The sequence below is a fragment of the Homo sapiens genome, chromosome 8 (genome assembly GCF_000001405.40).
Source record: "Homo sapiens chromosome 8, GRCh38.p14 Primary Assembly".
Taxonomy (NCBI): domain Eukaryota; kingdom Metazoa; phylum Chordata; class Mammalia; order Primates; family Hominidae; genus Homo; species Homo sapiens.
The window spans coordinates 55,866,828-55,890,113 of record NC_000008.11 but is presented as its reverse complement, the minus strand read 5'-3'; the positions used below and the strand labels follow the sequence as shown (position 1 = coordinate 55,890,113).

Genomic DNA, 23,286 nt, shown 5'->3' with positions numbered 1-23,286 from the left:
ATAGAGGCAGGTTCTCACTTTATTGCCCAGGCTGGCCTTGAACTCCTGGCTTCAAGCAATCCACCTGTCTCAGGCTCCCAAAGTGCTGGGATTATAGGCATGAGCCACTTCACCCAGCTAAGCAACTTGCTTTTGATAACAATACCAATGACTACCATTTAGCCATGTGCTTCACTTGTGGCTAGTTTGGAATCCACTGTAACCTAGAACACTCACAACAAACTGCTGAGGTTTAAACATGAGGACTCTGAGGCTAGCAAGGCCAGCACCTTGCCAGCAGCAGCCCACAGTTAGGAAGGGACAGACCTGGGATTTCAGCCCCCACATGAAATTAATTCGACACCCTGTGCTCTACCGCCCTGCCCTGCCTTACTTTTGACCATTCAGAGTGATTTCTGGGCACTCATTTGGGTGCCAGGGATCTCCTGAGCAAGTCGCCCACCCACAACCCTAGCAAAGTCTTTGATCGGCATTCTGGTTTGTGAACAATCCAGAGAGAACAGAGCACAATAAACTCCTCTAGGATAGAAACCTCCCACTTATTTATGTTGGTATTCCCCCAAACCACCCACTATCATGACATACAGCACTCGATAAATATACTTGGGCTGGGTGTGGTGGCTCACGCCTGTAATCCCAGCACAGCACTTTGGGAGGCTGAGGCAGGTGGATCCCTTGAGCTTAGGAGTTTGACACCAGGCTGGCCAACATGGCCAAACCCCATCTCTACAAAAAATAAGCCAGGCATAGTGGCACACACCTGTAGTCCCAGCTACTTGGAGGCTGAAGTGGGAAGATGGCTTGAGCCCAGGAGGTCAAGGGTGCAGTGAGCTATGACTGCACCACTGTACTCCTGCCTGGGGTTACAGCCTGGTCTCAAACTCCTGAGCTCAAATTATCCTCCTGCCTTGGCCTCCCAAAAAACAAAAAAATTACGCAGGCCTGGTGGCGGGGCCTGTAATCCTAGCTACCCAGTACTGAGGTGAGAGGATGGCTTGGGCCTGGGAGGTGGAGGTTGCAGTGAGCCGAGATAGCACCACTGCACTTCAGCCTGGGCGACAGAGTGAGACCCCATCTCAAAACATACAAATAAATAAAGAAAGAAATACACGTGAGGGAAAATTTTTGTTACATACATTGGGCATCTATCAAATTTGAAATAATACAAAAAGCCAGTGTGGTTCTGAAAGACAAAAATCAACTGCTATGGTGCCGCATTTCATTATACCAACAACCATAAACTCCATATTAAAATTTTGCTTAAAACCAGGGATTCGGCCAGGCGTGGTGGCCAAATCCCTGGTGAGTGAGATCGTACCACTGCACTCCAGCCTGGATGACAGAGTGAGACTCTGTCTCAAAAACAAAACAAAACAAAAAACCAAGGATTGTGCCCATTACTGTATCTGTCACTCTCCAGGTCACTTAGGGGAGGTGTCAAGTACCTACTTGCAGATGACGATTACAAGCTGAAGCCTATTGCTGTCACAGAAAACAGAAATAAATGTTACTTTCTAGCTTCAAATTAATCTCTAGAGAAGTAGCCTTGAGTCATTCAACTCTCCACCTACTCAAAGCATTAAGTCAGTGTTCAACGTGTCTTCGCTCTTGGCTATGTCATAAATGCCATATTGTAAAAGAGTGTAGGCAAGAAGTTGCCTGTGATGGACAAAAAGATTAGCTTCATACTAAAAGGCTCCAGTGATTCCCCTTCGTTAATGCCATGAAGTCCAACATTTAGTATTAGGGCCAAGCACCCTCCAAGCCTGCCTGTGGAGCCTCCCACTGCCTCTCTGGAACAAGCTCTGGTAATGTGGAATGACCCCTGCATAGTCAGGCTGTCCTTCCTCAGGAAAGCCCCTTCTTCCAGGGTGTGTGGCCCACTCCCTTCAGGATTTCCACCAACATGGCAGGTGTGTACCCCAACTCCTAACACTGTGCGGGACTCCCAGTAGCTACCCAGGAAAAGTTTGCTAAACTGAATACTAAACATAGCAGTGGAAGGTTCTTTAAGAAAATGTTCTATTTACAACATTTACAGCGCATCAGCTCTCCTGAGACAGGACTCTTACAATTATATCCATCAAGCGTCCTTCAAGTCACTCTAGCTCCAAAGTTCCCTGTCTGCTTCCACCTGCCTTCTGCAGTCCCACTGGCTTCATTCCATTGCTCCTTATATCCTGCCGTTTTAAAATCATATAAGGAGCCAGGCGCAATGACTTATGCCTGTAATCCCCGGATTTCGGGAGGCTGAGGCAGCCGGATAACTTGAGGCCAGAAGTTCGAGACCAGCCTGGCCAACACAGCAAAGCCCTGTCTGTACTAAAAATACAAAAAGTAGCTGGGCATGGTGGTGTGTGCCTGTAATTCCAGCTACTCAGGAGGCTGAAGCACAGGAATCACTTGAACCCGGGAGGTGGAGGTTGCAGTGAGCCGAGATCACACCATCACAGTCCAGCCTGGGTGACAGAGCAAGACTCTGTCTCAGGAAAAAAAAAATATATATATATGTGTGTGTGTGTGTGTGTGTGTGTGTGTATATATATATATATATATTTATATTTTTATATGGGATTTATGTATATATTTATATGTGGGATTTATATATATATTTATGTATATATGGGATGCTCATTCTTTTAAATATAAAGACGTACAGAAGTAAAAACAGCACTCAACTGTCACCCAGAAATAATCACTATTAAGATCTTAGTATAAAAATTGTTTGAAATGCAGTTTATAGATGATGTGTCCATATATGAATATTTTATTTCAGAAATGGTATCATGTCATCTACTAGTTTGTGTTCAGCTCTTTTGCTATTGTTTGTTTGTTTGAGACAAATTGCACAGGCTGATTTCGAGCTCCTGAGCTCAAGCAATCCTCCTGCCTCATGCTCCCAGAGTGCTGGGATTACAGGCAAGGGCCACTGCGCCTGGCCGCCTGGCCGTGTTCAGCTTTTGAAAAAAAATTTTTCATATTAGTAACTGTAATTGAATGTTTTATCTTTTAAGATATTTACAAAGTATCCCATTATATGAATGTGACTTAATTTGTGTTTGTTTAATAAACCTCCCTATTGGACTGCCCATCTCTGTACGTTGGAAGGGGGGATGAAAATATGTTGATTAATGGATACAAATATACTGTTTGATAGAAGAAATAAGACCTGGTAGGGTGACTAGAGTTCACCATTAACTATTGTGCATTTCAAAACAGCTAGAAGAATTCAAAAGATTCAGCATTTAAAAAGAAAACAAATATTTAAGGTGATGGCTATCGCAAATACTGATTTAATCTTTACAAATTATATGATGTATTAAATTATCACATGTGCCCTGAAACTATGTATATCTATTATGCATCAGAACAAACAAACTCTGATGGAGCTGGCCAATCCTACCTCAGAAAAGCTGCTCCAGGCCACATTCCCCTGCAAGTTAAGGGGAGGGGCTGTTCCACCAGATTGTATTTTCCTTTTTCTATTTTGTTTTGCCTACAGATATGTGTATTTGAGCACAAGGTAAAATGTTTCTTGCTATGGGTTGTGGTCAAATAAGTTTGACAGGCTGGGCGCGTGGCTCATGCCTGTAATCCCAGCACTTTGGGAGGCCGAGGCAGGCAGATCACCTGAGGTCAGGTGTTCGAGACCAGGCTGGCCAACATGATGAAACCCTGTCTCTACTAAAAATACAAAAATTAGCCGGGCATGGTGGTGCATTGGTGCATGCCTGTAATCCCAGCTACTCGGGAGGCTGAGGCAGCAGAATCGCTTGAACCTGGGAGGAGGGGTTGCAGTGAGTGGAGATTGCACCATTGTACTACAGCCTGGGCGACAGAGCGAGACTCCATCTCAAAAAAAAAAAAAAAAAGATGTTTGACAGCCACTGTTCTATCCCAAGAATTTAACAAGGAATTTAACAATTTTTAAAATAGTCCTGAATTATTATAGTTAGTATTTAAAAATTATTATGTAGCCTGAACATTAAAAGATTTCGAAACGTCTACCCAAGAGTTTCATAACACTTTCCATGACGGGGAATTTCAAAATGTACATTTTTCCGTTGCTGAAAAAGTCAGGCATGGCCAGGGTGGGCTTCGCAAAGCAGGCTCTGCCCTTAAGACTCTAGACTGCTCCTCTCTCCCACCCCGCCCCACCCCTCACTTAAGGGCAAACCGAAAATGCAGAGGGCAGCAGAGGGTAGAAAGAACCCCGAGGAAAACGCAGCATTGGGTGGTAAGGAAGGTGGGGCTGCAGGCAAATGACCCAGGGGCCTGGGGTGGAGGAAGTATCACTTCCTTGCCTGCCTCCTCTGGGGCCTTTTCTCTCCAGCATCGGGCTACAGTTCTGCTCTCCGTGACACAGCTTCCCCCTGGAAAGCAGAAGTGGTCCTCCCTCTCCAGAGAGCCTCTCTGAGATAAGCTTCTCCATTCCCCTCACCTCCGTGGGGGTTAACATTTACAGGAAGAGTGGGGGCACCCAGAGACCCAAACACCAAGAAGACGTCATTGCTTCAGTGGGAGGCAGAATGAATACACACCCATCTCTCCAGTCTCACTGTACCAGCGCCCAAGGGTAGGCCCAAAGACCACACGAAGACCTCCCCACCAGATGTTTTACCAATGGAGGGAGGAAAGCGGGGACTGGAAAGAAGCTTCCAACCAGTATGGTCTGGTGTCAATAAAGAGGAGTGAGCAAGATTTCAGATGCTCACAGAAAGGTGTGGGCAGGCAGGCAATATGTAACTTTGCCTGAAGCATGGACTGTAGAAAGGAAATGAGACCAACTAAAAAACTATCTGAGCTGTGAAGACTTCTTCCCAGTGTTCTACAACCCAAAAGCAGAGCCTCAACCATCAAGAAACAGCCACTTAACTGGATTATTTAAATGTATCCCGATTCATGCAGTTCTATAGGATGTCATTTAAGTAGCAGCATTCTGAACACTGAGCATTTACAATAATGAGGTTAACTGACAATCTCTTCCCATACACGGTCAGCTCATGCCAATTCCTGGTTGAAGAAGCCTTTGTAAGATGATAGGGAATGAAGTGGGGAGAGCAGAAGAAGGGGTACTGGAAGCCTGAGGGTTAATAAAGCTCAGTGAAAGAGCAATGCCATGGAAGAGTTCTATACCAAGGAAAACTGTATCCTGAGTGTAAGTACAGCTTTTAAGAAATAGCTCTGTGGCAAATAAGGAATGCTGCCAGCTAATTCAGTAATGAGAGAAAATGAAGTACAGAACAGGATGAAGGGGATAAACAACAAAGGCTACTACAGGCCCTGCTCTTGTCAGCATGGATGAGGCTTTTTAATACATCATCCCAAGTATTTAAACTTGCTCTTCTAAATTACAAGACAGGGCCAGGCACGGTGGCTCACACCTGTAATCCCAGCATTTTGGGAGGCCGAGGCGGGCTCACCTAAGGTCAGGAGTTCAAGACCACCCTGGCCAACATGGTGAAACCCATCTCTACTAAAAATACAAAAATTAGCCAGGCATGGTGGCGGGCGCCTGTAATCACAGCTACTAGGGAGGCTGAGGCAGGAGAATCACTTGAATCCAGGAGATGGAGGTGCAGTGAACTGGGATCACGCCAAAGCACTCCAGCCTGGGTGACAAGAGCGAACTCTGTCTCTTCAGTGGGAGGCAGAATAAAAAATAAAGAGAGCCCTTCCAACTAACTTAAGCCAAATATACCCCAGAAAGGCCAGGCGCAGTGGCTCACACCTGTAATCCCAGCATTTTGTGAGGACGAGACGGGCAGATCACTTGGGGTCAGGAGTTCAAGACCAGCCTGGCCAACATGATGAAACCCCATTTCTACAGGAAATACAAAAATTAGCTGGGTGTGGTGGCACATGCTTGTAAGTAATCCCAACTACTCAGAAGGCTGAGGCAGGGAGGATTGCTTGAACCCAGGAGGCGGAGATTGCCGTGAGCTGAGATTGCACCACTGCACTCCAGGCTGGGCGACAGAGTGAGCCTTCATCTCAGAAAAGAAGAACAAACAAAACAACAACAACAAAAATCTCAAAAGGTCCAAGTCTTTAAACTGACAAAATTTCTAATCCCTCCATTGGCAGATTTCCATACCATTCTCTACACATGGGTATCTCCCCCGAAAGGGAACTTATTCAAAATAAATTTTAGAAATGATAATGGAGTGAACTTAAAGTTTCACAATTTAAGTATCAGGAAACCAGACAGCTGTAAGAAATCTTTCAGTATTTCTGACTGGAAAAAAAAAACCCAACAACTTCCTCTTCCATGTTCTTCTCTTCATTATCAGCCTTAAAAGATGGGAGGCAATGTATATCTATACTGTTGGCCTAGAACAGTGCCTTGCACACAGCAGGTGCTCAAAATGATCAGGTGTTTTAATGTGCGTCCTATGAGCCCTGTCTCCTTAATTTATATTTTCACTTAAATGATGCTCTCACTGATAAAACAACCAGGAGGTTGGCAAAGTTTACAGGGAGACACTCCCAGCACAGGTCGGGGAAAGTCCTTTTGCAAAGTATTACTCAGGTACTTCTGTATTAACCATTAAGCAACTGATTGCCCCCAAGACAGTCACTAGGGCTGCTCGGACAGCAGCCAGTATAGGTGTCATCTTAGCAGTTACTGGAGACCACCCTTTCCCACCCCCAAGCAAAAAGCAGTGCTAAAAAGCACAGAAATTCATTTCTAGAAGACAGCTTGAAGTGCCCAGCTTGATGGTGCATCTGCTATGTCCTGAGCAGTTAGCCACTTAGTTCAGACAATTACCAAGTGATAAAAGAAAATTAACTCATGATTTCACTTTTAAAATGTTTGTTAAATGACCTATTTATTTGCTTTTAAGCACAGATGGTCTGCAACTTAATGATTTTTCAACTTTACGATGGTGCAAAAGCATTAGGCATTCAATAAAAACTGTACTTCAAGTACCCATACAACCATTTCATTTTTCACTTTTAATACAGTATTCAATAAATTACATGAGCTATTCAACACTTTATTATCAAATGGGCTTTGTGTCAGATGATTTTGTCCAACAGTAGGCTAATGTGAGTGTTTCGACCATGTTTAAGGTAGGTTAGGCTAATCTATAATGTTTAGTAGGTTAAGTGTATTAAATGCATCTTCTACTTTCAGTATTTTCAACTTACGATTGGGTTTATTGGGACACAGCCTCATCATAAGTTGAGAGGCATTTGTAATTGAGCACACACTACAAGTCCAAAGGTGGACAAGTAGAAAGAGCCAAAAAACATACCTACTACTCCTAATGGTACCGCTTAACCAAGCCTGTGACCTTAGACAACCCCCTGAATCTTTTTCTGTATCTGTCCCTCTCCATCCTATAGGAGCCACAAGAGGTTCAAATGAAATTAGAGTTCAGGAAGACTTCAGAGCCCTGAACAAATGAAAGGTGCTAACACCTTCACCATCATCACTAGGAAGAGCCAGTAAAGGTCTGAGGCTATCTCTGCTATCAATGTGACATTGATCAATGTCCTGACTAATGATTGTGGTGGCCTTTCAATGTTAACACTCATCCATGCATCACTGAGATCATCAGTAGGAGTGAGCTTATAACAATGTTCCCTGCTGTGGGCATGTATACATGGTGTCCTTATTTATAAAGTTAGTATGGGTTTGTACATGAATAATATGATTTAATTTTGTTAAGTTACAACTCCACATAGTCATGTGAACCAACTGGAATCTCAGATGTTTTTGGTGATTTATCTAAAAACAAATATTGCAGATAGAAGTAAAAGGCTTTCAAAGTCATTGAACAGTGCTGGACCACTTTTCTGCTAAAAGAAAGCTATTGGAGGGCAGGGGCGGGATTACAAAGTTTCGACCTACCTTTGTAACACCAATGACTCTAAAATAATGTAGGTCTTCTGGATTGGGCCAACTACCTTTGCAGGAAACATCTTAACCACCCCACATCAGGACCTCTCTTCCAGTAATAAGTAGAGAAGAGCGGTGCTGAGTGGAGACTCTCATTTAGTTACCCACACTAAATGTGGGTAACTCAGTGCTGGGTAACTTTACAGTCAACAAAGCCTCTCAAATCCCCGTTTTAGAAACCACAACAGAAAGGGCCAGTAGGCTTCAAACACCTTAGGGACCAGCTCTATTTCTTCATCTCCCTATGTCCTCAGTTTTGCATAGGGCAAGCTCACAGGAGGCCTTCATTCCTTCTTCCAAGTAATCTCGAACTGAGCACCTACTATGTACCAGGCACTGGGGCTATCATTTTGGACAAGACAGATGAAGCAGTTTTCATGGAGCTTCCACTGTAATGGTTAATACAGACTATCAACCTGCAGACAAATCAATATAACTCTGGCTGCTGCTATAAAGGAAATCTTGGCTGAATAAATGGCCCAAGTGGCTTATCCCAAATCACAGCATATTAAATGATGGAAGAGGCCAAAACTCAAGGTTCCTGGCTCCTACTTTCTCTCCCCTTACATCTGCTGCCCTCTATCCTTCACTCAGCAAAAGGGCCACACATTTACATCCAAAGAGGCCCAGTCACCAAAGACTCTATGATCCAGTGAAATTTATTCAGGCCTCAAAGCGCTTACCTGCTTACCTCCAAATGAGAATGGAGGGACTAACTGGATCCCACCCTTTCCCAACAAAGCTTACTCTTACAGAGAAGGGCTTAGTAAGGCCTGGGTTCTTGCAGTGCCTATTCCCCAGGGCATGGCTTTAGGTGTTGGCTGTACAGAGAAAACATCCCTGTAGCCCACCAGTTTATTGGCTAGTTCTTTAGGGAAAGTCAGACTACTGGGCCCTGCTTTGGGACAGCAAATCCCTCATGTATTTATTAAGCAGATTTACTAATAAGGTCAGATGGCTAAATCTGACATGGTAGTCTTAGCTTCAACATCACCAAGCTGCAAAGAACCAAGAAGCCTCATTTATATGAATAGAATTCACTGCAATAAATAACAGTAACATCGTTTATGAAATGCTTGGTACGTACTAGGGGCTTTGTGTGTACTAAACAGCCCCTGAGGTATATATGCTCTCTCAAAGATGAAGAAACTCAAACAGGGAATTTCAATAATCGGTCCCCTAAATATACAGCCAGAAAAGTGCAAGGCCTAGATTCTGAGCTGGCGAAGAAGGGCGAATTTGGGATAATTAACACACTCGGATATACAAAAACACAACCGCTAATCCACATGACAGGCAGGCTGTTGGAAAGTTACGAATGCACCGCAAGCAAAAGATGCCACCATGGGCCCAGAGAATGCAGGAAAGTGGGAACTGACTCTTACGCCCTTCCCCCAAGGCGAAGGAAAGGCAACCCCTGAATTCTTAAAATAACTCTCGCTTCCTCTCAGCCGGCAAAAGCACCGGACTGCTCCTCGGCAGGCCGAGAGGCGCCGCAGCGGGAGGGTGAGTTCCAGCCTCCGCTGCAGCCCCTCGACGTCACGCTCCTGCCCGGGGCCACCAGGGAGGGCAACTGTCCGCGGGCCTCGAGAGGGCGCCGGCCGAGCCCCATCTCCCACTGCCAGGAGACCCAGGGTCCAGAGGGGAGATCAGATTGCACAATCCGAGGAGTCCTCTCCAGTATCCCCGCCGCGCGCCCGCTCCGCAAGGGCAGCGGCTTCCCCACTGTGTGCGAGAAGCGGCCGGAGCAGGGACAGCAGCCGGCCCTCGGGCCCTCACCGGGAAGGACACGCGGTGAGCCCGCCCCCGCGCCCGCACCTCCCACCGCTCCCCTGCGCGGCTCCGCGGCGGACACCTGCGGAGCCTCAGTCCCCGCGCCCTGGCTCCCCCGGGCCCGGTCACCCGTCGGCTGAAGACATCTAAGAGCCTTCGCCGCCGGAGCCCAGAGGCGGTGCGGCCAGGAAGCCGCCGCGGGCCGCGCCGATGCCCCCGGCCCCGAGTCTACCCTGCGCCCGGGACTCCGGCTGGTGGCACAGCCGCGGCCCCTGCACCCACTGCCCGCGTGCCCGCGCCCACCCCTGGGCTCGCGCAGAGGACTCACCCGCTCGCGGTGAAAGTTTCGGGGCGGCGGAGCTCCACGGTGACTTGAGTTCAGAGTGGGGGGCGCGACGGGGCGGCCCAGCAGGACCTGCGTATGGGGAGGCTGCTGGCCGGGAACGCTGGACGCGCGGCGAGGGGCTGCTGGCGCGGGGCCGGGGGTGGCGCGGCCGCCCCGCTTGCCGCGGGCTGGAGGCTGCAGCGCGTCTGGCCCGGAGGCGCCACGGCCGGGGAGCGAGCGGCAGCGCGGCCCGGCGCGGCGGGAGAGGAACTGGCTGTCTCTGGGCTCGGCCGAGAGGTCCCAGCTACTTCCTGGTGCTCGGATTTGCATATTGAGCCCGGAGGGCGGGGAAGTGACCGTTTGGTCCCTGCCCAAGGTTTGGGTGTTTGGTGTGGCCGTCGCGCAGGGCTTTGAAGGCACAGAAACCTGGCGACTCAGTCTGCAGCTCCGGGGAGTGGAGCAGCCCGGGCCAGCCTTCTCCTGTAGGGACGGACGGAAGGATCTCCAGAGGAGCCTGGGCTTCGCAGGCACATCGACTACACCTCTCGCGTCTCCTTTCCTTTCCTTCCGACCCATCCCCAAGGTATTATTAGGAAGGGGGTGCTCCCAGGAGCGGAGGAGGTGCGCTCTGATCCCTTCCAACATTAGGGGTTCTCTAGAGAAAGGATGCGATATGCCGAGGTGATGCTCGGGGTCTCGCTGAGTTCTTAATAATCATTACAAAGTAAGTTCCTTAAGGGTGTACAGGAGGCTGTTCAGGGCATTGATGGGGGAGGGGATGACGTAGAGTCAAATGGCCCGGCAAGTTCTCCGTTTCTCAAAGCCTCAGTTTCCTCCCAGGACAATGGATGTGAGGATGCCTATCTCGTGTACCTTTCTGTACAGGGCCCGCACTGCCCGCATGCAGGAATGCTGGCGTTATTTCATTCCTACTACAGCTGCGTCCCAGCATGTAGGGCAGTGCTTGCACGTAGCAGCTGGTGCCTAACCAGTGTTTGCTGAAAGAATGTGTGACCGCGTGCTCAAGCTCATGTTCAACTCAATAAATGCCACTTACAAATCCAAGATGTAAGATTAGGCTCGGGCACCGTGGATACCCACTTCTTCTAAGCCAGATTCTGTTCACTGGGATCTCAGCATTGCATTAATAGCAAACATTTACAGAGGGCCTGATGGGCCAGACACTGCCCAAAGCACTTCCTTTCTCTCATTAACAATGTTCTGAAGAGGCTGACCCCAGCTACAGAGCAATAAGTCAAAGCAGCTGCCTTGTGACACAATCTGATACAGCAGTTATTTGTTACTAGGAAAAGAGTACTAAAGTTTGCATACTAATTCCTTAAAAGAAGAAAGGTGGTTTATACCTGTGATGTTCACTGGTATGTAGTTGTTAGTTTACTGCTGAAGAGAAGGGGTGGGTTGCCCATGGAAATACCCATGGGAAGGTGTGTGATTGAAACCTATCAAGAATCCTATGGAGAAAAATAGAAAAATGAAAAAAGAACAAAACAAAACAAAATGAAACAAAAAACAATGAATCCTACAGAATAATTCACTACCTGAGGGCCTATTGCCTAGACTTTTCTTAAGAATGACCTCTCAAATATATTAACCCTACATTAAAGTTTCTGCTGCTACTGATGAATCCTTGAGATCCTGACTAAACGTGTGTGGCAAATAAGAATAGGATTCAAAAACGTTTGGTATTGGTTAATCTATCAGGAATGTCTGTCAGTGTTTTTGGTAAAATGTCTCTCAGGGTAAGGAACAAAGCATCATCAGGCTTACCTGAGCTTGCAACCAGATCCCCAACTCCCTAACTCCTCACAAAATTGTCCTCACTAAGTTCATCTCTTCATTCTTATTTGGAAAAAAACGATACGATGCTAATTTCCACTTCTTAGGCTGCATTTATACTTGCTGAATACTTCATTCAATCATTCTCCATATCTGTCTTTCCTTCTTAATGTCCCATGAAAGTTCTATTTCTCAGGAAAGTTTTATTTAAAGCTCCTATTGATAGGCAACTTTTTAAAGCATCTGTAGCATGTATGGTGTGCAACATTATTTTAAACTAGACCTAGGTACTTTTTAGCATTGTTTGCCCATGTTAGGCTTGTCTCCTCAACTACTGGTAAACTCCTTTTGGGAAGGCACTGCCTTTTATATTTATCTATTCCCCACTCTACCTCCCAGAAATTATGTTGGGTGCTTTAAAATAGTTCATTAGTATTGATTGATTGGTTAATTGATTGATGACTGATTTATCTCACCAGTTTTCTCTAAATTGAGCACAGAAGGCAGTGATCAGAGGCAGGGTGCAAATCAATTAAGGCTCCTTGACAGGATAGATGGGCCTTTGAAGAAAGGAAGGAATACGATGGGCGGGGCAAGAGAAGGCGGTATTGTAAATACGTTATGTACAGTGTATCCTCATTTTTGCAGATATCATATTTGTGAACTTATCTACTTGCTAAAATGTATTTGTAATCTCAAAATCAATACTTGAGGTGTTTTCCCAGTCACTCATAGATATGCACATCCCAGAGCAGTAAAAATCTTGAGTTGCCCCACGCACACCCTCCCAGCTATAGTGGAACAAGGCGATGCTCTGCCTTCTTGTATTCTTTTTGCTGTCCATTTAGTTTATGCTTTCCACACTTCTGTGCTTTTTGTTGGTGATTTTGCTGTTTAAAATGGCCCCCAAGCGACTGAGCTCAGTGGCTCATGCCTGTAATCCCAGCACTTTGGGAGGCCGAGGTGGGAGGATTGCTCGAGCTCAGGAGTTCAAGACCATCCTAGGCAATATCGTGAGACCCCCCCCACAATAAAAAAATTAAAAAAAATAAAAATAAAAATAAATGGCCCGAAGCGTAGAGCTTGCTAAAGTGCTGTCTGTTGTTGCTAAGCACCAGAGGCTGTGGCGTGCCCACTGGAGAACCGTCCTGCAGGCAGGAGCTACTGTGCTATTGGTTGTGAACTCAATGTAATGAATCAGCCATATATTAAATAAGGTGTCCATTAAACAGAAACACACACCATATAAGGTTATGTATTAATCATAATGTAATGAAAATGTTGTGTCCAGAGACTCACAGGAACCTAAGAAGCAGTGACTCGGTATTCGCTAATTCAGTGTTCACAGTGACTATAGAACATAACTACCACAAATAATGGGACGCAGCATACAAGAGCATCCCATCATCCACTGTGGGAAAATGAAATATCTGACCTCTAGGAACTTCTTCATTAGCACCGCCATCATCATCTCATGCGTGGTCATGGTGCTTGAGGCCAGGATTGGTCATGCTGCTCACCTGTTCATGTTGGTCCACCAAATCATCTGTGCTGCAACCCATCCCACTGCCACTGTGTGGGCTGCCCCTGCTGCCTCTTCTAGTATTCTTCCACCTAACTCTTGCCAACTTGGCCACAGACCTAACTACCAAGTAGCAAATAATACAGAGTAGTGGTGCTCAACCCTGGGGGCACATTAGAATCACCTGAGCTGCTAAAATATCTCCATGCCCAGGCCCTACCTAGACCAGTTAAATCAAAGTCTTTGGGGGATGGGGATGGTGAGGGGAACCCCAATTATCAGAGACTGAAAACCTTGCCAGGTGGTTCCAATGAGCAGCCAAGTTTGGGAACCACTGGTGGAGTGTGCTCCGCCCTCCCCTAGCCTGGAGCTCACCTCTCTGAACAACGTCCACCTTCCTCAAGCCCTCATGCCCCCAGGTCCTCTGTCTTTAAGAGAGTAGCATGTGGCCAGGGGCAGTGGCTCAAACCTATAATCCCAGCACTTTGGGAGGCTGACGTGGGTGGATCACCTGAGATCAGGAGTTTGAGACCAGCCTGGCCAACATGGTGAAACCCTGTCTCTACTAAAAATACAAAAATTAGCTGGGTGTGGTGGCTCACACCTGTAGTCCTAGTTACTCGGGAGGCTGAGGCAAGAGAATTGCTTGAACCCAGGAGGTGGAGGTTGCAGTGAGCCAAGATCACGCCACTGCACTCCAGCCTGGACAACAGAGTGAGACTCGGTCTCAAAAAAAAAAAAAAAAAAAAAAAGTAGCATGGATATATGCCTCTGTGTGAGGGTAAAGTGGTAAGGATTGAGAATATTAAACCTGTATTACTGGGGAAAATGGGTGACTTTAGCACAAGTGATTATAGATACAAGGAATTAATAAAGAAAAACAAAAATTGCTAAGAATTATTTTAGGCTACAAAAAAATTTTAACAACTATATGAAATATTATTTATACATAAATTGCCACAAGGTAGATTTTTTCTTAAATACTTATCCAATGTTAACCGGTATTACAGGCCAGGCACAGTGGCTCACGCCTGTAATCCCAGCACTTTGGGAGGCCGAGGCGGGCAGATCACGAGGTCAGGAGATCGAGACCATCCTGGCTAACACAGTGAAACCCCATCTCTACTAAAAATATAAAAAAAAATTAGCCGGGCATGGTGATGGGCACCTGTAGTCCCAACTACTCGGGAGGCTGAGGCAGGAGAATGGCGTGAACCCGGGAGGCAGAGCTTGCAGTGAGCAGAGATCGCACCACTGCACTCCAGCCTGGGTGATAGAGTGAGCCTCCGTCTCAAAAAAAAAAAAAAAAAAAAACAGGTCTGACATGGAGAAAGTATTTATGGTCAAGTAGGTTTGGCAACTTTTTGAGCTGAACCCAGTCTCACAAAGCTCCTTGTAGCACAGTGATGTCACTGTCAATCTCCATGAAGGAGCTAAGTGTATTTTTGTCCCAGATCATATACCCAGGTGATGGATTTGCTGAAAGCTGCACCTGGGACCAGCTGTCAAGCAGAAGACACAGCTATTGATGTGAATAGAGACCTCTCAGAGCCACCAAGCTAGCCGTTGTTTCATCATCACCCTAAACTAAATTCAGAAAAGCTGAATGTTCATACACCGTAAGACAGCTGAGAGTGGGCAGGAATGTCATGCATCACTGCCACCTGGCACCAGCAGATCTCCTGGAACTGTGCTCGCTGATGTGCTGCTGCCTTGGCCACTGGCATAGGCATCACAGCAAAATAGTTTTGTGTGTGTGTGTGTTTATTTATTTTTTGAGATGGAGTCTCACTGTGTCACCCGGGCTGGAGTGCAATGGCACCCTCTTGGCTCACTGCAACCTCCACCTCCCGGGTTCAAGGGATTCTCCTGCCTCAGCCTCCCAAGTACCTGGGATTACAGGCGTGTGCCACCACGCCCAGGCAATTTTTTTGTATTTTTAGTAGAGACAGGGTTTCACCGTGTTAGCCAAGATGGTCTCTAACTCCGGACTTTGTGACCCGCCTGCCTTGGCCTCCCAAAGTGCTGGGATTACAATTATTATTTTTTGAGATGGAGTTTCACTCTTTTTGCCCAGGCTAGAGTGCAATGGCATGATCTCAGCTCACTGCAACTTCTGCCTCCCAGGTTCAAGCAATTCTCCTGCCTCAGCCTCCCGAGTAGCTGGGATTACAGGTGCGCACCACCATTCTTGGCTAATTTTGTATCTTTAGTAGAGACAGGGTTTCACAATGTTGGCCAGGCTGGTCTCGAACTCCTGACCTCAGGTGATCTGCCCGCCTTGGCCTCCCAAAGTGTTGGGATTACAAGTGTGAGCCACTGCATCTGGCTGACAGTGAAATAGTTTAAATCGTGAGCATGGAAGTGACAAATGTGGGTGCCTGCACTCCTTTCCCAGTATGACAGCAAACCCAGCCTCCTTCATTGAGCTTTACATCACTCTGTGGGGATGGAGCTTGTCCAAAGTAACCTTTCATGATGAACCATCGGGGACCCTTCAGGGCCCAGTCAAGGCCATTGCCTCCCATTTATTCCTTGGCCATGTGAGCCAGACTATGTTTCCATTCACTCATCACCCCCTGTGTGCCAGGAACAAGATGGGGTCCCATATTCAATTCTACAAAAACAGTTTGGTAACAGCCATCAGATGGTGATGGAGCCAGATGAGGATGTTTGTGTAATACTAATAATGATTTTATGTTCTGGTAACATTGTCTGCCTTGTTTGATGTTATGTTGTTTTCATGTATGTATGCGTCTGGTTTGGTGGCCATCTTGGATGTTCAGTTTCTGTCTATGGGTTTTTTTGTGTGTGTTTTTTTTGTTTTTGAGATGGAGTCTCACTCTGTTACTCAGTGGGGAGTGCTCTTGGTTCTCTGTAACCCTCACCTCACCTCTCAGGCTCAAGTGACTCTACAGCCTCAGCCTCAGAGTAGCTGGGATTACAGGCATGCACCACCATACACAGCTAATTTTTGTATTTTTAGTAGAGATGGGGTTTCACCATGTTGGCCAGGCTGGTCTCTAACTCCTGACCTTAAATGAGCCACCTGTCTTGGCCTCCCAAAATGCTGGGACTACAGGTATGCGCCACTGCACCCGGCCTGTCTATCTATGTTGCCTTTGAATAAACGCAGCTTCAAATGCTGCTTCTAGTTTTTGGCTTGGCAGGTGGCATTGGCTGAATCCCTCCTAGTGCTCAAGCCTCATAGTATGATGTAGTTATTACCACTTCTTGTATGTGGCCAGCATTGCTGTAAGACAAGAGATATTTCACAGAAATCAATAGGACCTCTCAGAGCCACCAAGCTGGTTGTTACTTCACCGTCACCCCAAACTAAATTCAGAAATGCTGGATGTTCATACCCCGTAAGACAGCTTGAATTATGGGTAAAGAGGTGTAGGTATGCTTTAATATGAACCTCATTGGCTGGTTTTCCCAGACCCATAAGCTAGTGATAGCATGTGCCCAGCAACAGTGCTAAGGACACCTTGATGGCTTCATTATAGTCACTTTCCATTCCTTACTTCCACCTCCAGAAAAGTCCAGAAAATGCAGAGCATTGCTCCAGGTGACTCAGTAAAATCTCAGCCACACTCTACAAAGTAAAGCTCATCCCAGGGTAGGCTACGGTTTTCTCTGACTCCGGGCACGTCCTTTCGTTGATCTGAATGGTTTATGTGTGTCTGTCCCACGGAAGTCCTGTTTATCTCGATTAGTTATTCTTAAGCTCCAAGAATACCACTATCCTAAAAAATACAACTGTCCTATGACATATGGTATTTGGTTCTTAGTTAGGGATTCTTCAAATCAGATTGTGGACAGGATGCAAAGTTACAAGTGGAAAAACTTGCACTCATAAAGTCAGAAAGGGAGCTGTATTCATTTACCTTCCAACCCAGCAGGAGAGTTTTGACTGAACTCATATGATTTTGAACCTGAATTGCTTGCTTACATGACCCAAGGATGTCAGAAGAGGTTCTTTCTGTACCTGTGATTACTGGAAAAACTACTCAACAGGACTCTGTTTGCTCATCTATAAAATGACCCACATCTAGCTCACACAGGTGCTGGGAAGGTAGCCAAGTGGCCCAGTGTTCCCAATCTAAGGAGAAAAGTGATGGCATGAGGTGGAGGAGGAGGTGGAAGCAGGAGTAGGAGGTTGGCTAATACTATGAGTATACACGATATTGAGAGTATTTTGGGGTGGCTCCGGCCACAACGACAGACACCTTTATGCCTTTGTTTTCACTCACTGCCTTTCTTGACCTCCATCCTCACACAGCTGGGTCTTACCCATCTTTCAAGGACAGTGTAAATGCCACCTCACCAAGGAGGCCTTCAGCAGACACAGCATATCTCTTCCTTCCTTGAAATCCCACAGAAAGGTCAGGCACAATGACTTACACCTGTAATCTCAGCACTTCGGGAGGCAGAGGCAGGAGGATTCCTTGAGCTCAGGAATTGGAGACCAGCCTGGGCAATATGGTGAAACTCCATCTCTACAAAAAATACAAAAGGCCAGGCGCTGTGGCTCACACCTATAATCCCACCACTTTGGGAGGCTGAGGCAGGTGGATCACTTGAGGTCAGGAGTTCGAGACCAGTCTGGCCAACATGGTGAAACTCCGTCTCTACCAAAAAATACAAAATTTAGTTGGGCTTGGTGGTGCATGCCTGTAATCCCAGCCACTCAGGAGGGCTACTCAGGAGGCTGAGGCAGGAGAATCACTTGAACCCAGGAGGCGGAGGTTGCAGTGAGCCAAGATCATGTCACTGCACTCCAGCCTGGGTGACAGAGCGAGACTCTGACTCCAAAAAAAAAAAAAAGAAAGAAAGAAATCCCATGGAAAGTGATGTCTAGTTCTTGTTGACACTTGTCAGTTTATACCTTTATTCTAGTATTGTTATTTATCTACACAGAGTTCTTAATACCAGATGGTGAACTCCTGAATGAGGATCTGGGCCTGTCTGTTTGGTTTCATTTTTATTATTGTTTGTTACCCTAAGCATTAAGTGCAGTGCACGTAAGCAGAAGGTACTCAGAGCGAGTTTGCTAAATGAAAGGTTAGTATGGTGTAAGGGGAAACGCCTACTGTGTCGGAACCCAGAGAGGCAATATTTTGCTTGGTTTGTGGTGAAAAACCTAATGGTGATTGAGTCTTCAATCTGCCTCACGGGCTGGGCAAGTCACTTCTGTACATTTTATACACACACATAATTCTCACAGTAATCTTTGAGGAACATGCTATTAACCCTGTCTTACTTTCAATGCAACTGAGTCACAGAAGGGTTAAGAAAGTTTTCCGAGATCACACAGGTTACTCACAGCTAGTGAGTGATCGAGTCAAGATCTGACTGTGGGCTTAGCTGGCCAGGCCTATGGCCTTTCTGCTGTGCTGCCACACTCCCTCTCCTCATCTCCTTCCATTGTACAGATTCTTCTGGAGCTTTCTGGGATGTTAGCTACCTTGAGAGCACTCATACATACGTCCTGTGTATTCCATAAAGTGGGAACTGTGGAAATATTCAGGCTCAACCCTAATACTTGCGGGGCGATTTGTTGAGAGTAAAAATGGAGGTCCAAGTACCATGTGTCTCATCTGTGTATATCAAGTGGCAAAGGTTTTGTTGTTGTTGTTTGTTTGTTTTGTTTTGTTTTGTGAGACGGAGTTTCACTCTTGCATGATCTCAGCTCACTGCAACCTCCACCTCCTGGGTCCGATTCTCCTGCCTCAGCCTCCCGAGTAGCTGGGATTACAGGCGCCTGCCACCATGTCCTGCTAATTTTTGTATTTTTAGTAGAGACAGGGTTTCACCATGTTGACCAGGCTGACCTTGAACTCCTGACCTCAGGTTATCCACCTGCCTCGGCCTCCCAAAATGCTGGGTACAGGCATGAGCCATCGCACCTGGCCTTCAAGTGACAAAGTATTAAATAAAATATGGTCTATCCTTCTACTTGGACAAATGTACCCTTTTTTTTTTTTTTTTTTTTTGAGATGGAGTCTCACGCCCATTGCCCAGGCTGGAGTACAGTGGTGCAATCACTGCTCACTGCGGCCTCAACCTCCTGGGCTTAAGTGATTCTCCCACCTCAGCCTCCCAAGTAGCTGGGACTACAGGTGCATGTCACACATCACTAGGCCCAGCTAATTTTTGTATTTTTTGCAGAAACTGGGTTTCACCATGTTGCCCAGGCTAGTCTGCATCTCCTGGGCTCAAGTGATCTGCCTGCCTTGGCCTCCCAAAGTGCTGGGATTACAGGCATGAGCCACTGCCCCCAGCCTTAAATGTACCTTTTTATTGGTCAAGGCTCTCCAGAGAAACAGAATCCATAGGAGATATCTCTATTCAGAAGAGAGAGATTTATTCTAAGGAATTGACTCATGTGATTTTGGGGGTAGTGAGTCTGGAATCTACCAGGCAAGCTAGCACGCTGGAGACCCAAGGCTGAGTTGATGTGGCAACTCAAGTTCAGAGGCAGTCTACTGACGGAATTCCCTCTTCTTCACAGAACCTCAGTCTTTTTCTCTTAAAACCTTTAGCTGATTGGATTGTACCCACGCACGTTATGCAGGGTAATCTGCCTTGCTTAATATTTACTGAATTAAATGTTAATCTCATCTACAAAATACCTGGTCTGCCCATGAACACATGGGCAGGGACTTTGGGGTTTGTGGTGCATAGAGCATGGCCTGGGAAGGTTCATGAGCTCCAGAAGAACACAAATCCACAGACTTCTCTCCTGACAGGAGGGCCTACGCAGAGCAGGGCCTTTTATGATGTAGGGAATGGGGTCAGTGTTCTTCTTGTAAGCTCCAGGAATGGAACACATTCGTGCCAGCTTCTATGGTTGGGCACGAGAACCTGAGATTCCAAGAGCTTCCATGACATGCCTCAGGGACTGAGCTCATTCGGCTCAGGGCAAGCACCACAACTGTCATTTTTACAGGTTAAAAATAATTGAACATTGGCAAATGTACATGGTTCAACATAGTACAAAAGTATTGTACTTAATGCTAAATGTATTTTTATTATAAATATAGGCCAATCTTTGAATAAGCTCCCTGAGAAATAAAACAAAAATAAAATCTTGACAAAAGTAGACTGATGATGAAATTCAATTACTATGTAATCTGTGTTGGAGCTTAGTAAATGAAAAATTGACTGGACCAATAGAGATACGGTCAGGAACATAGAAACACAACTTCTGACTTGGTTTAAACTCCTACCTCTTATTTTTCTGGTCTTGGTGGGCTTTAAGGCTAGTTGGGGCCACACAGATGGATTTTGTTTAAGTGGTTGGAATGCTTGGGCTGGAAAGAAACAAGGAGTAAGATGGTGGTTGTAATAATATTGGGGTAAAAGAGACTAATATTTTACAAATTATTTTAGAATGTATAATTTCAATAATTTTGATAAATCTACAAGGCCGAGAGGGTGGATGTGATTTCCACCCAGTTTTTCAACAAGGGAGAAAGTAACTAACATTTATTGTGTGATAGGTATCATCCAAGGGGCATTACATGTATGTCATTTAATCCTCAAAGCCATACCAGTGTGGCTACTCTGTACCTCATTTTACGGATAAAATGATAAGACTTGCTCAAGGTCACATAGCTGGTGAGTGAGGGGCTGCGCCTCAATTCAGGCCTCCTGAGCCAGAACCAGGGTGCTTCCCAACAGTCTCTGTGCCATCGTTCAAAGATGAGCCACCTCATCTGTCATCTCTTTATCTCACATGCACATGCACATGGCCACATCCCAAGTCAGGGTTTCACAGGCACATCCAAGAGGATCCTGAGCTTTTAAAGTTGAGGACAGACCCTTGCCCACCTTTACATTCATGTGCCTGGCTCGGTGCCAGGCACAAAGGTGTCCAGTGAATGTCTGTTAGATGAATGCATTTTTCAATGTATTAAAGATTAATTTTATAAACAAAATAATTTTATGGTTTTATAAATTGATTAAAGGCTAAGTTCTCTAGGGTGTCAGTTAGCCACAAAAATAACCTTTCTCTGAGTAAAAGAATATTGTATGGGAATTATAAGATGTCAGTGCTGGCCCTAGCTCCACCATGTATTATCTGTGAAACCCAGATTTGCTCATTTTTAAGAGGTGGGGTTGGTCCGGATGGCATCTGTAGTAACCTCCAGGTCTCAAATGCTATACTTCTTAGAGGAGCACTGAGTGTGAGGACTTTCGTTGCCAGTTCAGGGCATTTTACCTAAGAAAATGATTCACCATGCCCTGGAGCAATGAACTGGGCAGTGTAAAGCAGTAATTTTGCTTAGGCCAATTCGGAGGCTGCTTTTCAATAAGGAAAAACACTTGAGGGGCATCTGCATACAAAAAAAGGGGTAAGAAGCTTGCCAGGATGAAGAAACTTAAACCTCCACCATCCTTTATGAGCCATTCCAACTAGATACCCATGCTAAACAAAAGAAAATCTTACAGGGACTAGAAAACTAATATGAAATCTTCTGAAGTTCCTTGAAGAATATTTTGTGATCTGAACCTGAAAACTTAGAATACTGCTAAAATATATGGCTGAATAAGGCACATTTCTGATAAAGTGCAAACTGTTGTAAGAGAGTATTTTTCAATTTTAACTTATCCCTTTGGCAGTACCCAGTTTTCAACCCTAAGAGAAAGGTGTCCCAGAGAGATGGGTTCAGGAAAGGATTGAGAACTAATCAAATAAGCTATAGTAATCAAATACCTTATGCTAAACACAGATTGAGGGGAAAAAATTCAAATTTTAGGACAATGTATTAAAATAAATTAAAGAGGCCGTACTATGTATGTATATATAGATATACACATATACATCCACGTATGATGATACATGTGTCACTTAAGTGTGGAAACAGGAATAAGAAATGGGGACCCCTGAGAAGGCTCTATTGGAAATAGCTGGAGGCTTCAGACTAAGTTTCTGAGCAGTAGGTTTTAAGTCCGAGGCAGTAATTGGCAAAGCTCTTCTGTCAAGAAGCAGAGAATTCCAAGACACTACATGTTTTCAGAAAATTGGATTGTTTCCAGCTTTTTCATTAATTTACACATTTTGCATGCCTGGCATTGTACTAATCGAACGGTGGCCTAGCCAACATAAACAATGTTGAATGGCTAATAACTAGCTATAGGGTTGGTGATAAAATGGAAGTAAGTGAAAGCTACAAATATCAGCCAGGCTGTGTGGTTCACGTCTGTAATCCCAGTATTTGTACTCAGGAGGCCGAGGTGGGAGGATCCCTTAAGCCCAGAAGTTCAAGACCAGCCTGGGCACTATGGCAAAACCCATGTCTACTAAAAATAGAAAAATTAGCCAGGTGTGGTGGCACAGGCCTGTAGTGCAAGCTACTTGGGCGGCTGAGGTGGGAGGATCACTTGAGTCCAGGAAGTGGAGGTTGCAGTGAGCTGATGTCACACCACTGCACTCTAGCCTGGGTGTCAGAGCAAGACCCTGAAGAAAAAAAAAAAGAAAGAAAGAAAAGAAAAAGAAAGAAAGAAAGAAAGGAAAGGAAAAAAAGGAAGCTACAAATATCAGAGACCCTTTCTGTACATAATTATTCTGCATTTGCCACACAAAGCTCTTAGATGTCACCTCTTTTTAATATAAGCTTCATCTGTTTGAAGCTATGATTTATTTGGGGGGATACTGTGGTTCCTCTCACAGACTGAAATAATCTCTGTATGATAATACTACAACTTATTTTTTTCTTTCCAATAAAAATAGTTGTTTTGTTGCCATTTTTCACTTTAATGTCATAGCTAGAGAATCAGAGAGCTAAGAAAGTGCAGGAGAAGGAACACAGCAGCTGCCACCACAGCTAGGTGGATACTGGGTGCTTCACATGCTCATTTTTTGTTTCTTCTCACTATAAAGAAACTGAGGTGCAGAGATGTAAAATATCCTCATCTGATATCATTAAACTAGCAAATCTGTTGTTCTGG

The 23,286-nt window shown here is 45.5% G+C and overlaps 1 protein-coding gene across 3 annotated transcripts in view, besides 13 other annotated features; it reads right to left on the bottom strand.

The window, feature by feature from the left end:
• Positions 1-10,279, bottom strand: part of LYN (LYN proto-oncogene, Src family tyrosine kinase) — a 134,335-nt gene extending 124,056 nt beyond the window's left edge. For all 3 annotated transcript variants that reach the window (NM_002350.4, NM_001111097.3, XM_011517529.4), the window contains exon 1: positions 10,011-10,279. The gene's annotated coding sequence lies outside the window, so the exon portion shown is untranslated. The remainder of the gene's footprint in view (positions 1-10,010) is intronic.
• Positions 1,565-1,624: an enhancer, noted in NCBI's record as "active region_27386". NCBI's record gives its function as "activates an Ori minimal core promoter by ATAC-STARR-seq in GM12878 lymphoblastoid cells {active_cell/tissue: GM12878}" and the evidence as "EXISTENCE:reporter gene assay evidence [ECO:0000049][PMID:35858748]".
• Positions 1,635-1,764: an enhancer, noted in NCBI's record as "active region_27385". NCBI's record gives its function as "activates an Ori minimal core promoter by ATAC-STARR-seq in GM12878 lymphoblastoid cells {active_cell/tissue: GM12878}" and the evidence as "EXISTENCE:reporter gene assay evidence [ECO:0000049][PMID:35858748]".
• Positions 4,250-4,544: a silencer, noted in NCBI's record as "tiled region #4485; K562 Repressive DNase matched - State 5:Enh". NCBI's record gives its function as "represses a minimal TATA promoter and a strong SV40 promoter by Sharpr-MPRA in K562 cells {active_cell/tissue: K562}" and the evidence as "EXISTENCE:reporter gene assay evidence [ECO:0000049][PMID:27701403]".
• Positions 4,250-4,650: a biological region, named in NCBI's record as "Sharpr-MPRA regulatory region 4485".
• Positions 4,371-4,650: an enhancer, noted in NCBI's record as "active region_27384". NCBI's record gives its function as "activates an Ori minimal core promoter by ATAC-STARR-seq in GM12878 lymphoblastoid cells {active_cell/tissue: GM12878}" and the evidence as "EXISTENCE:reporter gene assay evidence [ECO:0000049][PMID:35858748]".
• Positions 8,187-8,296: an enhancer, noted in NCBI's record as "active region_27383". NCBI's record gives its function as "activates an Ori minimal core promoter by ATAC-STARR-seq in GM12878 lymphoblastoid cells {active_cell/tissue: GM12878}" and the evidence as "EXISTENCE:reporter gene assay evidence [ECO:0000049][PMID:35858748]".
• Positions 9,496-9,675: a silencer, noted in NCBI's record as "silent region_19206". NCBI's record gives its function as "represses an Ori minimal core promoter by ATAC-STARR-seq in GM12878 lymphoblastoid cells {active_cell/tissue: GM12878}" and the evidence as "EXISTENCE:reporter gene assay evidence [ECO:0000049][PMID:35858748]".
• Positions 9,706-9,995: a silencer, noted in NCBI's record as "silent region_19205". NCBI's record gives its function as "represses an Ori minimal core promoter by ATAC-STARR-seq in GM12878 lymphoblastoid cells {active_cell/tissue: GM12878}" and the evidence as "EXISTENCE:reporter gene assay evidence [ECO:0000049][PMID:35858748]".
• Positions 10,076-10,245: a silencer, noted in NCBI's record as "silent region_19204". NCBI's record gives its function as "represses an Ori minimal core promoter by ATAC-STARR-seq in GM12878 lymphoblastoid cells {active_cell/tissue: GM12878}" and the evidence as "EXISTENCE:reporter gene assay evidence [ECO:0000049][PMID:35858748]".
• Positions 10,266-10,325: a silencer, noted in NCBI's record as "silent region_19203". NCBI's record gives its function as "represses an Ori minimal core promoter by ATAC-STARR-seq in GM12878 lymphoblastoid cells {active_cell/tissue: GM12878}" and the evidence as "EXISTENCE:reporter gene assay evidence [ECO:0000049][PMID:35858748]".
• Positions 10,476-10,535: an enhancer, noted in NCBI's record as "active region_27382". NCBI's record gives its function as "activates an Ori minimal core promoter by ATAC-STARR-seq in GM12878 lymphoblastoid cells {active_cell/tissue: GM12878}" and the evidence as "EXISTENCE:reporter gene assay evidence [ECO:0000049][PMID:35858748]".
• Positions 11,096-11,185: an enhancer, noted in NCBI's record as "active region_27381". NCBI's record gives its function as "activates an Ori minimal core promoter by ATAC-STARR-seq in GM12878 lymphoblastoid cells {active_cell/tissue: GM12878}" and the evidence as "EXISTENCE:reporter gene assay evidence [ECO:0000049][PMID:35858748]".
• Positions 14,973-15,082: an enhancer, noted in NCBI's record as "active region_27380". NCBI's record gives its function as "activates an Ori minimal core promoter by ATAC-STARR-seq in GM12878 lymphoblastoid cells {active_cell/tissue: GM12878}" and the evidence as "EXISTENCE:reporter gene assay evidence [ECO:0000049][PMID:35858748]".